At 41.1% G+C, this 13,004-nt stretch overlaps 3 annotated features.

Annotated features, from left to right (window-relative positions):
* Positions 6,337 to 6,878: an enhancer, noted in NCBI's record as "OCT4-NANOG-H3K27ac hESC enhancer chr1:175801421-175801962 (GRCh37/hg19 assembly coordinates)". NCBI's record gives its function as "activates a minimal SCP1, AML or CMV promoter by ChIP-STARR-seq in naive and primed H9 embryonic stem cells {active_cell/tissue: H9 hESC(naive and primed)}" and the evidence as "EXISTENCE:reporter gene assay evidence [ECO:0000049][PMID:30033119]".
* Positions 6,879 to 7,420: an enhancer, noted in NCBI's record as "OCT4-NANOG-H3K27ac hESC enhancer chr1:175801963-175802504 (GRCh37/hg19 assembly coordinates)". NCBI's record gives its function as "activates a minimal SCP1, AML or CMV promoter by ChIP-STARR-seq in naive H9 embryonic stem cells {active_cell/tissue: H9 hESC(naive)}" and the evidence as "EXISTENCE:reporter gene assay evidence [ECO:0000049][PMID:30033119]".
* Positions 8,597 to 9,154: an enhancer, noted in NCBI's record as "OCT4-NANOG hESC enhancer chr1:175803681-175804238 (GRCh37/hg19 assembly coordinates)". NCBI's record gives its function as "activates a minimal SCP1, AML or CMV promoter by ChIP-STARR-seq in primed H9 embryonic stem cells {active_cell/tissue: H9 hESC(primed)}" and the evidence as "EXISTENCE:reporter gene assay evidence [ECO:0000049][PMID:30033119]".

The following is a 13,004-nucleotide window of genomic DNA, read 5'->3' on the forward strand; positions in this document are numbered from 1 at the left end:
TAGTAGATCACCCTTTTGTTCTCCAATCATAATTCTCCACAGTTCTCCATTTCATCAAACTTGGTGTAAAAATGCACAAGTTTACCTGTTTCTTTGGACTTCATTTCTGAAGGCTCCCATGTCACATTAATTTAAAAAAAAAAAAGACAACTTATGTTAAATAAATCAAAAGGTGAGGGTAGAGGGCAATGAAGAAAGATTGATTAAGGGGTACAAATATACACTTAGAAGAAATAAGACCTAATATTCAGTAGATCAGTAGGGTGACTATAGTTAACATTAATCTATTGTATATTTCAAAATAGCTGGAAGAGAATAATTTGAATGTTCTTAGCATATAGAAAAGATGAATATTTAGGTTGATGAATATTCCAATTACCTGATTTAATTACATGAGTGTATCAAATTATCACATGTGCCCCGAAAATATGTATATCCAATATGTATCAATAAGAATAAATAGGCTGGGCGCAGTGGCTCATGCCTGTAATCCTAGCACTTTGGGAGGCCAAGGTGGGTGGATATCTTGAGGCCAGGAATTTCAGACCAGCCTAGCCAACATGGCAAAACTCCATCTCTACAAAAAATTTAAAAAAAAAGATCCAGGCATGGTGGCATGCGCCTGTAAGTCCTAACGACTCGGGAGGCTGAGGCATGAGAATCACTTGAACCCAGGAGGCAATGGTTGCAGTGAGCCGAGATCATACCACTGCACTTCAACCTGAGTAACAAAGTGAGACTCTGTCTCAATAAGTAAATAAATAAATAAAAGTGAATACATAATTTTGTATGCTTTTCTATCATTAATCTGTTTTTTTAATACCGGTGCCTCAGTCATGAGCCTTATGATGGGTGAGAAAAGAGATATTACTTTTTCTCCTCTACACAAAGTCAGAAGCCACAAAGTCTTTTCTGATGTAGCCTTGAAGTCACACTTCCTCATTTTCACAATATCCTTTTGGTCACAAGGTCAGCTGCGTTCACTGTAGGATGCATTCAATATATGGAGAAGTGAATATTACTGGGGACCATCTTAAAAGTGGCCACCATAACACCAACAGGTTGCTCTGAACAAGATCTTTGCTCTGCCCCAAAATTTAATTCACTGATGGTTCCACCATGAAATCACAGTTTTGATTTTTTATGTGTTTTAAACAATTAGACCTTTAGCAAGAGAGTAAATCAAAGATAGCCAAAGACACTAAGTTAGATTTTCTACCCTGATGAAAGTATGAGTGGCCAAGATCACACAGTTGGTTTCTGGAAGAGCTCAGAAGAGACAAGAAGGGCAGGAGAGCCAGCTGGCCTCTACATTCACCAAGGTCTCAGATTAGACTTTTAACTTTATCCCCAAATAAGATCTATCAGACAGTCCCAAAGATATAGGAGCAAAGGAAAGCAATATTCATTGTCCAACCTTAAACCCTGAGCCTTGTGACTATACAACACTGTCTATAGCACAGGATGACTGTGAATTAATATTTTTCCAGATTTTGTGACTATTAAAATGCACTATATTGCATTTTTTCTGGAAAAAGTTTTAACTTATAAAATGTAAACATCAAAAAATTTCGTAATTCTTATGATTCCCATTTTTTAAATTGTTTCTTTTAATATACAAGGGACCTCAAAAAAACTGAAGTGACCGTGATCTGTTAACATCTGAGAGGCTTGTCTCATGACCCCTCAACCCCTCAACTCCTGGAGTTTCATTCTTTTCCTTTGAAAAAACCGGAGGGTTGTGTAAGTGACCTCTAAGGTTGGTCCAGGTCTTGCATCCCTTCAGGCACTAAAGCCATAGTAGTCAGTGCTTATTTTTCAATGCTCTGTGTGCCCTGAATGCTCCTTTAGTAAAGAATAGGAAGAAGGAAAGGGAAGTAAGTGTAAAGGGCAAATTCTGACCACCACACCATGTGGAGTAGTGAACCAAGTAAGAACCTGAAATGGGAGAAAAACATAGAACAATTTTTGCAGGATTTTTTTTTCGTTATCCACAAAGTCACGTTGAGACTGGTTTCTGGTTTGAAATAAAAGGGAGCTCCAAATATTCTGGCAGGAGGTCATCTTTCCTTTATGGCCTTTGCTCAGCCTGGGCCTCTGACTGTCCCAGGAGCTGGGCCCTCACCCCTCCCAACAGATCCGCTCTGGAAGAACAATATTTAGATGCCTTACCTTAGAAACCTGACCACAGAAGGGCTGGCTTTTTTTGTAAGAGATGGGGGTTGTATTAGTCTGTTTTCATGCTACTGATAAAGACATATCTGAGACTGGGCAATTTACAAAAGAAAGAGGTTTATTGGATTTACAGTTCTACATGTCTATGGAGGCCTCACAATCATGGCAGAAGGCAAGGAGGAGCAAAGTCATGTCTTACATGGATGGCAGCAGGCAAAAAAAGGAGCTTGTGTAGGAAAACTCCCCCTTTATAATACCATCAGATCTCATGAGACTTATTTGCTATCATGAGAACAGCACAGGAAAGACCTCCATCCATTATTCAATTACCTCCCACCAGGTCCCTTCCATAACACATGGGAATTCAAGATGAGATTTGGGTGGGGACACAGCCAAACCATATCAGGGGTTTTGCTATGTTGGCCAGGTTGGTCTTGAACACCTGGGTTCAAGCAAATCCTCCCACCTCAGCCTCCCAAAGTACTAGGATTACAGGCGTGAGCCAGTGTGCCTGGCCTATTTTTGTTTGTTTCTTGTTCCTACTAGAATTGCTGCAAAGAATCACAAAAGCAGCAAGGCTAGGACACTGGGCTGCTGTAGCAAAGGGAGGCAGCAAGTGAAGCAGTGATTCTGGGTGACCATGACGCCACCAGGCAGACTGCTGTTTGTGCTGCCAGTGTTGAAAAACACGTTCTGGGTCTGTGGAACCGGCAAATAGATTTCTGTCAAAAGGCAAAATTACAACAAATTTAGTCTAAAAATCTTAATTGCCTTTTATTGGCAACTCTAGAGTCTGGCAACACCTCATTCCGTAAAAAACAATGAGTGCTCCAATATGCTGAGCAGAGGAGATTGGCTTTATGGACAAAAAAAGAGCTGAATAAAGCAGAAACAAAAAACAAAAAGTAGACTGGCAATTTCAGTTATTTTCCTTGTAAAGGTTAAAGCAGAGGGGACTTCCTTATGTTGGCTAAAACTGGCCTGTTTGGCTATTTGGAGATTTGGCTATTCTCTCTCTTTCTCTCCTTTCTCTCTCCCCAGCCGCCGCCCCCCATGTCTTGGAAGGTTATATAAACAACTTAGTTTTAGCTTGATTGCATGGAACTTTAGAATGAGTGACTCCATCTTGGTTTGGTCCATTGGGCCTAGTGCAACAGCTCAGGCCAAACCAATGGCCTCCTATACATTTTATTTAACACTTCCTTGGACTGGGGCAGGGGTGTGGCCAGGTGAATGAATGAGGAAGGTTCTGAGCTGCCTCCTGACTTTGGGCATGACCAATAACCATGACTTGTTTTGTTTCAGGCCCTCCCCTCCTCCTCCTATCTAGTGAGCACCCAGTGATCCAATGTCCTTGTCCCCTGGCAAGGCTACTTTGCTTTCCTTATCACTGGAATTCAGCAAAGCCTCCTTCCTGGGTATCATATACAGAGGAGGATACAAATATTGCTAGTGAGCCAGTCTCATTTTGCCTGTTGCACAGTGTGTCAATCAATGAGAAGACTAGTTTTATAGCAGAGAAGCTACCAAGTGAGCAGATGGGAGAAGAGTTCTCAAATTTGCCTCTCCAAAGACAGAGTTTAGGGATATTTATGGGATAACAAAACAGGGTGGTCTGAAGCATGGGGAAAGGTGACTTGAGGTGAGGAAAAGTGAGAATCAGTGATCTGCACAAGGGTAGGCAGACTTCATGGCTTTTCATATGATGGTGTTGGTGCTACCAGTGCCCCAGGTTCTTGCAGTCTCCCAGGATTTAAATCAAGAGTGATCACCAGGCATAGAAATAAAGGGAGTTTATGAGCTGGTGCACAAGGTAGCCAGCTGCTACCTGAGGGTAGTGTTTGTGTTAGTTTGACAGGGTCTTTCTATAGGGAAGGGTTACATCAGGGCATGTATACTAGGGGTTTTTCTAGTGCTTGCGTAGTGACTCAACATGTTTCTTCATATATCATATGTAGTGCTAGCATTTTAAATCTCCACCCCAGGGCATGAACTTTAGCATTAAAATGAGGAAAGTGTAACTTTAATTTGGAGTTTAAGTCTGATGCACATGTGGGGCTCCCAGGAAGCCCCTAGCCCTCAAAATAAAACCTTGCAGTTAAGAACTTCCTGGGTCTTTTGTTACTGACTGGCTGATGGTTAAATAAGCCAAACTTTTTCATTCAGACCATCTTAAAATAGGGAATTGGCCAGCCTGCATGTCTCATTTGCATGATCTGAGAGTGGAGTTTTTGGTCCTCTGACAGCAAAAGGTCACCCATAGGATGCTCATGTAGGCTCAGTTGGAGGGTTGGTGGTCTCAGCTGGTTTGAACTGGACAAAAACTGACCCTAAGTTCCTGAAAAATAACTTAGGCAACTGTTACCATAGTGACCATTACATCAAAGCTGTTATCTATAAGAAAGCTAGTGAGTGGAAGTTTAATTATATTTTGCCTAGCTACATGATTTTTAGCTATATAGGTTTTAAAATCAACTAGAAGTGAATGACTAAAAGCAAGCAAGTTTGACAGGCCTAATCAGGTTAGCCCTTCTGTTTCAACATTTCCCTCAAACTTCCTGTTGTACCTGCCACTGGCTGGAGCTGCAGAGTCTGGCTACTCAAGAAACTGACATACTTCCCAGTGGGATGTAGGCTGTCAATTCAGCTGTTCCTTTAGCAGAAAGAGCCAACATCATTGCAGCTGAAGCTTTCTTCCCTGAGGTAATTTGCCTCAAACCCTGGGGAAAAAAATAGGTCTGGCCTCTGCTTTTTCCAGCTTTTCCTTCTGGAGGGGCAAGAGAGATTGATCCGGCCTCCAAGGTTGGAGATGCCCCTGTGTTGAAGATCTGTCCTGTGTTTTCACTGGAAACCAGCCAGAAAGGTGGGGCTAAGCAGAACTTTTCTACGTTGGTGTTTGATTGCAACAAAAGAACCCATGAAGACCTGCAGTTGTTGTCTACAACCATGTGAAGGACTGCCACAAAGAAAAGTGAATGGATCACTTAGTAATCCCAGAGGAAGAACTAGGACCAGTGGGAGAAGTTAATGGGAGGCAGAGTCCAGCCCAGTGTAGCACATCCTGCCCCAAGAAGTAGTGATCTCCCTGTCACTTACAGCGTGTAAGTAACAATCTGTCAAAAATGTTGGACAAACTCCAAATGAAAAATAAATTTCAAGAAGCTTAAAAACCAGTTGAGACTTTTTAAAATGGACTTGAAGAAGTGGATGAATGTAGGAGTCCAGAGAGACTTGAGCAAGGGCTTTCTTGCTCTATCAAAATTCCCAGTCCTAGGAGCTGGCCCATCTTCTAGTTTTACCCCAACTTCAAAAAGCTTCAGGGACCTGGAAGGAGTAAGACAGTGTTCCTACCACAGTGCCTGCCGGGAGAGTGGGCTGAGGGAAGATGGGCCTCTTCAACTCTCAGCATCTGTGATTCTGACGAGGAAAAATCTCACAGGAGATAAAGAAAATTCTTCAAATCATCCCCAGACTGAATATTTAACAAAATTGGGGTTTGATTTTTTCAAATAAGGCATCAGTGGCTCTTTTTAAGCAACAAGGAGATTGTTTTATGCAAATTTCCCCTTAGGGCTTTCATTAAGATGTTAACATCTTTCTTGTCACAATATCTACTTTATTGCAATGAGTCATAGTCTTTCTCTATTCTCTTGCTGAGACATCTTTGTAAGGTAAACTCTGGGCTGAGAGCAGGGCCTAATTTTTTTCTTTTTTTAAGTAAAAATCCCTTCCAGAGAGTACTAAGGAAAGGATTGCGAGACAGAAATTTTTTAAAAAGAAAGAACATTATACCCCCAGTATGGTGAGATCAATAGATGGAACCAGAAACATTCCTGAGGAAGAAACTGGGCTTACTGTACTCTGCTGGTTAAAACTCAACTCCCATTGGACCAAGTACATATCTCTGGTGCTGGGAACATGCTAGAACCATTTTGCTTCTACCAGTGGGGATATCTAAGCCCCTTTGAAGACAGCCCTCACCTCTCCATCCAACCCTTAGCTCCCTCTCTGGACCACAGGTGAGTGACTGTACAGTCACAGATATTTTTCTTCTGTAGAGATCCAATCTGTGGCCCTGAAATGGAAAAGATAGTCACAGGAAAATAAATGCCATATATAACACCATGGTTATGGGGATAGAGATGTCAACAAAAAGAGTCTAACTCTGTAAAATATTTGAAGACATTTATTCTAAGCCAAATATGATTGACCCGTAATGGCCCATGACACAGCCCCAGGGGATCCCGAGAACATGTACCCAAGGTGCTCAGGCTACAGCTTGGTTCTATACATTTTAGGGAGACATAAGACATCAATCAATACACATAAGATATACATAGGTTCCATTCATAAAGACTGGACAATTGGAAGAGGGGGTGCTTCCAGATCACAGGCAGATTCAAAGATTTTTCTGATTGGATATTGGTTGACAGATGAATCAATAGAAAGGAATGTCTGGGTTAAGATAAGCAGGTGTGGAGATCAAGGTTTTATCATGCAGATGAAGCCTCCAGGTAGCAGGCTTCAGAGAGAATAGACTGTAAATGTTTCTCATCAGGCTTTAAGAGTCTATCAGTCTTGGCTGGGCATGGTGGCTCATGCCTGTAATCCCAGCACTTTGGGAGGCTGAGGTGGGTGGCTCACGAGGTCAGGAGTTCGAGACTAGCCTGGCCAACATAGTGAAACCCTGTCTTTAATAAAAATATAAAAAATTAGCCAGGCGTGGTGGCAGGCACCTGTAATCCCAGCTACTCTAGAGGCTGAGGCAGGAGAATTGCTTGAACCCAGGAGGCAGAGGTTGCAGTGAGCTGAGATGGCACCATTGCACTCCAGCCTGGGTGACAGTGTGAGACTCTGTCTCAAAAAAAAAAAAAAAAAAAAAAGAGTCTATCAGTTTTAAGGTCTCTGTGTTGATGTTAATGATGATCAGTTGTGCCTGAATTCCAAAAGGGAGGAGGGTATGAGGCATGTCTGACCCCTCTTCTCATTGTGGTCTGAACTAGTTTTTCAGGTTAACTTTGGAATGCCTTTGGCCACAGGGAGGGTCCATTAGTTGGTTGGGGGCTTATGGTTTTATTTCTGGTTTACAGAAGCCTTTTGTGTAAGATTCAAACAGGGGGAGAGCAGGGGTAGTTTCCATTTAGGGCGGAGCAGGCTTTAAGAAGAAGAGACAGTCCTTTAGACTAGAAGTGAGCAGCCTTTCTCCAAAGGGCCAGAGGTAAACATTTTAAGCTTTGAGGGAGGACCATGGGTTCTCTGCCACAACTGCTCAAATTTGCTGCCCCTGGGAACACAAAAGGAGTGAACTGTGTTCCTATTAAATTTTATTTATAGACACTGAAATTTTATTTCATATTATTGTCACATGTCACAAAAAAGGGATTCTTCTGATTCTTTTTTCAGAAGATTTTAGATTTTTTCAGAAGATTTCAGAGGATTTAAAAATGTAAAATCCATCCATAGCTAGCAGGTCATATAAGAACAGGCAGCAGACAGTAGAGTTTCCCACCCCTGCAGGGGATCCTAACAGCTCCATCATGCAGTCTTTCCATGTGCTGTGTCCTGGGCATAGGACTGCTTTTTATGCATAGGAGGAGCTTCCTGAACACGGGGGGTGGCCAACTAAACCCTCCCAGGAGGTTTCCCTCACCACTCAGGCTTTTCTTGCCACCAGACCCCAAACACAATATTCCCTTGAGAAAACCACATATAAACGTTCAAAGTGCTTCTATTCTTCCTGTTGGAATGTGACTTAAGTGTGCAGGAAGCAAGGTAGGGAAGTAAAAGCCCTTCAAAGGGACATTTGGCTCAGACAGAAATCCTGATTATAAAATAATTCTTTTAGAATCATCTTAAAATATGTTGGTGTTAAATATTCATAGGGAAAGAGATGTGTATGAGAGAGAAGTGGGTTAGAAGGGAATGACACAGAGCCCAATCTTTCAGAGTGGCCTCACTGGAAAGGTGGTCACGAGAAAATAAACATCACAGATATGCCATGGTTGTCAGGGTGGAGTTCATGTACGTTCATGTCACAGGAGGGAGAGCTGGGGACGTTATTCCTTTTAGACCTTGACCATAAGGGCTGCAGTGGGAATTAGAAAGTGGCTTTCCTCTGATGAGGAAAGTCTTTAGCTGAGACATTTTACCCTGAGAAAGAGAGGGAGTGGCCAGTGCATTCTGGAAAAGTCTCCTCCCAACTCACCAAAATAAATCAGCTGGGCCTGCTCTAAGAAAACATTTAGAGACAGGTAGAATGTAGGCCTCAAGAAGTAACAGGTTGTATTAAGTAGTAATGGACCCTGGAGTTTGAATCTCAGCTTTAAAATTTACCAGCTCTGTGGCCTTGGGCAAGTCACTTAACTTTGTGTGCATCCGTTTTTCCTCTAGAGTTCATACCTACTGCTACATTGTTGAGATTAAATAAGATAATTTTCATAAAAGACATAGCACAAGGTATGGCAAAAATGAAGGCTTAATGAAAACTGGCCTTGCTTATCATCACAACTGTAAACAAAAATAAATTCCTAAGCCCCCTACCAACTGAACAGACCCCCTCTTGGCCAAGGTAACTCCAGATAAACCTGAAAATGGAATTCCTGGCCATGTTGAGAAGGGAGGTCTGACACACCGCCACCTGTGGAGTCCTGATAAGTAAGCAGCAACAAGAAAGGGGTCCCAGGTAGGGGAGAACAATTGTTCTGAGAGACAGCTAATTACAGACAACCCACTGGCACAACATCCTGTTCCCAAAGACCCAGAAACACAACCTTATCTGCACATCTTATCTACATGTAGCCCCTCCATCATGACCCTGTAACATTTCCCTCCAGCCCCTGCCACTTGGCAGACATCCTCTTCTCTGCTGTGCCCCCCATTGCTTTCTTGCAATGTATCTTTGTACTTTTTCCAATAAATCTGCCTTTTTTACCCACAACTGTCTTGGTAAATTCTTGTACCACCCTCAACGCCAGCCCCAGCCAGTCACACCAATGACACCATCTTTTGGAGTTTACATTAAAATGTCGATCATAAGACTGGCAAAACAGACTATTTGTAGCAATAAGATGTCAAATTATTAAGAAGACGTAAGGCCATGCAAGGCAGAGCTTAAGTGACACCTACAAACCATAATATCTCATTAGATGGGTTTTTATTAATCCAGCATAATGTGGCTGACTTTTTCACCTGACTCTGGTATGGCATGAAATGACAGATAGCAGACTCCAAAGGAAATCAAAATATTTTACCCCCAAATACATTTTTTGGACATGTTTTGAAATGGCTACCACAGGGCCAACAAATTGAAATGGTCCTGCAAAGCCCTCTTTTGTGGGAAAAATTTGCATATGTAAAGCATCTCTATTAATGCAGCAAGGCCTTCCCAATACAAGTCTTTTCCTGGATATAGGAGAGATTAAATAAGAGTCTGACACCTTTAAGGTCTGAAAAGAGACATTTACTATCTATTATCTCCAAAGGCTGCTACCCTTGAAGCTCCATCTATATAACAAGAACCTTGACCTCCATGTACCCCCTTATCTTAACTCAAGCATTTCTTTCTACTGACTTCGAGCCTTTAGACAAAGTTTAACTCTTTCAACCAATTGGCAGTGGGAAAATCATTGAATCCACCTATGACCTGGAAGTTACCCTCCCTTCAAGGAATCCTGCCTCTTCAGATTTAACCATTGTATACCCTTTATGTCTTGATTTATAATTTTACCTACAATTCCTGTGTTACTAAAATATATAAAACCAAATTTTAACCCAACCACCTCGGGCATACTTTCTCAGGATCTCTTGAAACTGTTCCCCAGGCCATGGTCACTCATACTGGCTCAAAAAATCTCTTGAAAATATTTTATAGAGGTTTGTTTTTCCATTAACACAACTATCACCATTTCTTAGAGACTTTCCTGTAATTTTCAATAATACATATTATTTCTAATTAGTTATGCTGAATGGATCTTACATTTTGTGCTTTTCTCTTAAACACTTTTTGTATACTTTTTCCATGTATCTGTTTAACTTTCAATCTGTGGGTAAATGGTTTTATAATATGACTTTTGTGGGGGCTATGGTCATTGGCCCCCTAAAGGTTTGCTGAAAAAAAATCAATGGCATGAGGCAGATTGATTAATAGGAGAAAAGGCATACATATTTATTTAACCTGTATGCACAGGAGGCTTCAGAATGAAGATCCAACTTCTCAATGAGTTATACAAGCTTATATACCATCTTGAAGTTACAGAAAGAATGGGGCCTTGGATTCTGGTAAAGCGGGTGATAGGAGTGGGGAGAAGAGGAATTCTATTGAGGGGCAATAAATTATTACTAGGGAAAATGATTGGATGAGGAACGGAAATTAACTTGTAAATAGTTTGTAGAGTCCTGATAAGATAAGTCAGGAACAATGAGGAAGGGACCCCAGGTGGGGGATGACAATTGTTCTGAAAAATAGCCTACTACAAACAACCCACCTGCACACCTGCACAACATCCTATTCCCAAATACCTCGTTTGGTACATAGCCCCTCCAGCACAACCCTATACAACAACTTCCCTCACTCATGCCTCTTTGCAGACAGCCCTTTTTCTGCTATGCTGCTTGCTAAAGTCTTGTAACATATCTTTATACTTTCTCTAATAAATCTGCCTTTCTTTACCCACAACTGTCTTGGTAGATTCTTTTACTGCCCACAACGCTGGGCCCAGCCAGTTGCACCCACAATATAGTTTTCTTTGGAATTTAAATGATCCCCAAAGATAGTCATTATACTCCTAAAAAGGTCTGCTAAGATATGGCCACATCTTGGTCTTGTTTTCTGCAATAAATGATGAGATAACAGGGAGGAGAAAAGGAGCAATTATGCTCCTTGGTGGGTCTGGATCTTAGGGAGATAAAGGAACTTTAGTTTCTTTGGGAGAGATGATGGGGTGGGGGCGAGGTCAGAGAGACCGTGAGGTTTCTTCATTTCAGTATATGTCAAAATGCCATATTTTAGGGTATTGGTTTCTGAGTGAATGAATAAGATTCAAAGTGAAGATTCATTCACTTTGAATGAATAAAATTCAAATTACTTAACCTCTCCCCAGTGTATGAGTATTTTGATCTTTAGTATTATGAACAATGCTACCATAAACACCTGTATACAAATATATTACAACTTGTATGCAATAATTTTTTTGACTCTCCCAGAGAAGGAAACATTGGCTTGAAGCACGCACTCAGGTGTGAGTTTCATGGTCTGTCTTATAGAGATTAACATTGACACTAGTGATGTGTGAGAATTCCTGTCTGCAGAGAAATGTACCAGCATTGAGTTCTATTATTTTGGCTTGTTTTTGCTAATAAATATGAAGTGGGAGCTCACAGTTGCTTTTTTTTTTTTTTTTTTTTTTTTGAGATGGAGTCTCGCTCTGTCACCCAGGCTAGAGTGCAGTGGTGTGATCTCGGCTCACTGCAAGCTCCACCTCCCGGGTTCACACCATTCTCCTGCCTCAGCCTCCCCAGCAGCTGGAACTATAGGTGCACACTGCCATGCCTGGCTAATTTTTTGTATTTTTAGTAGAGACGGGGTTTCACCGTGTTAGCCAGGATGGTCTCGATCTCCTGACCTTGTGATCTGCCCGCCTCAGCCTCCCAAAGTGACAGTTGCTTTATCTTTAAATTAAATTAATTACCTGTGAGTTGATCATCTTCCTCACCAACTTTTCTATTATATTCTATTTTCTATTATATTTGCTACTGTTCACATTATCCAGCAACAGGTTCAGTAGACACATGTTCTTGTCCCTTGTACGTGTGTATAGCCTGTTGATATATTTTGAATTCATCCTTTTCTCTATCTTATCTGTGATATGCATTTCCCATTTATTTTCTTTATATCTGGATTTTATTGTTTTTCATGAAGTTTTAAATCTGTGTGGATCTTAACCTGTTATCCTTATTGCTAAAAATGTTATGATCCAAGCAAGGAAGAAATTAACATCCCTCCACAGTTGCATACGGATAAGATTCTATTTTCTTTTCCTTTCTTTTTAACACTGTAGTCCCTAATCTACCTAGATGTACAATGCTATAAGTGTAAGTTATAGATCTGGATTTTTCTCCACATCCTTTCTAGTGATCCCAGCAAAACATACAATTATCTGTTTCCCTTTGGCTCCTTATACTTCACTTGTCACATATTTTTAAAATATTTCTTTCTTTAGAGTCTGTTTCTGGAAACTCTATTATATCCCAATGACCTATATTCTGTTTTTAAGCCAGTTCTACAGCATCTGAATAATTGTCACCATGAAACAAAAAATACTTGCTAGATCAAGTTTCTGGCAAGCCAGCCCAGTAACCGGCATACGGTAGAGGCTTATTTAATGTTTATAGAAGGAATGTACAATGATCTCCAAATTATCTTTATCTCTTTTTTTTTTTTTCGAGATAGAATTTTGCTCTTTTTGCCCAGGCTGGAGTGCAATGGCATGATCTCAGCTCACTGCAACCTCCGCTTCCCAGATTCAAGTGATTCTCCTGCCTCAGCCTTCCGTGTAGCTGGGATTAGAGGCTTGCGCCACCATGCCTGGCTAATTTTGTATTTTTAGTAGAGACAGGGTTTCATCATGTTGGCCAGGCTGGTCTTGAACTCCTGACCTCAGGTGATCTGCCTGCCTCTGCCTCCCAAAGTGCTGGAATTACAGGCGCGAGCCACCACACCCGGCCCCAAATTATCTTTATTTCTACATATTATCATTTATAATAACATCTATTTACCCTTATGGAGTATTTTTGCTGTTAATTTAATAGGATCAAATCTGTAAGATAACTTG

The sequence above is a fragment of the Homo sapiens genome, chromosome 1 (genome assembly GCF_000001405.40).
Source record: "Homo sapiens chromosome 1, GRCh38.p14 Primary Assembly".
In the NCBI taxonomy this organism is placed as follows: Eukaryota; Metazoa; Chordata; class Mammalia; order Primates; family Hominidae; genus Homo; species Homo sapiens.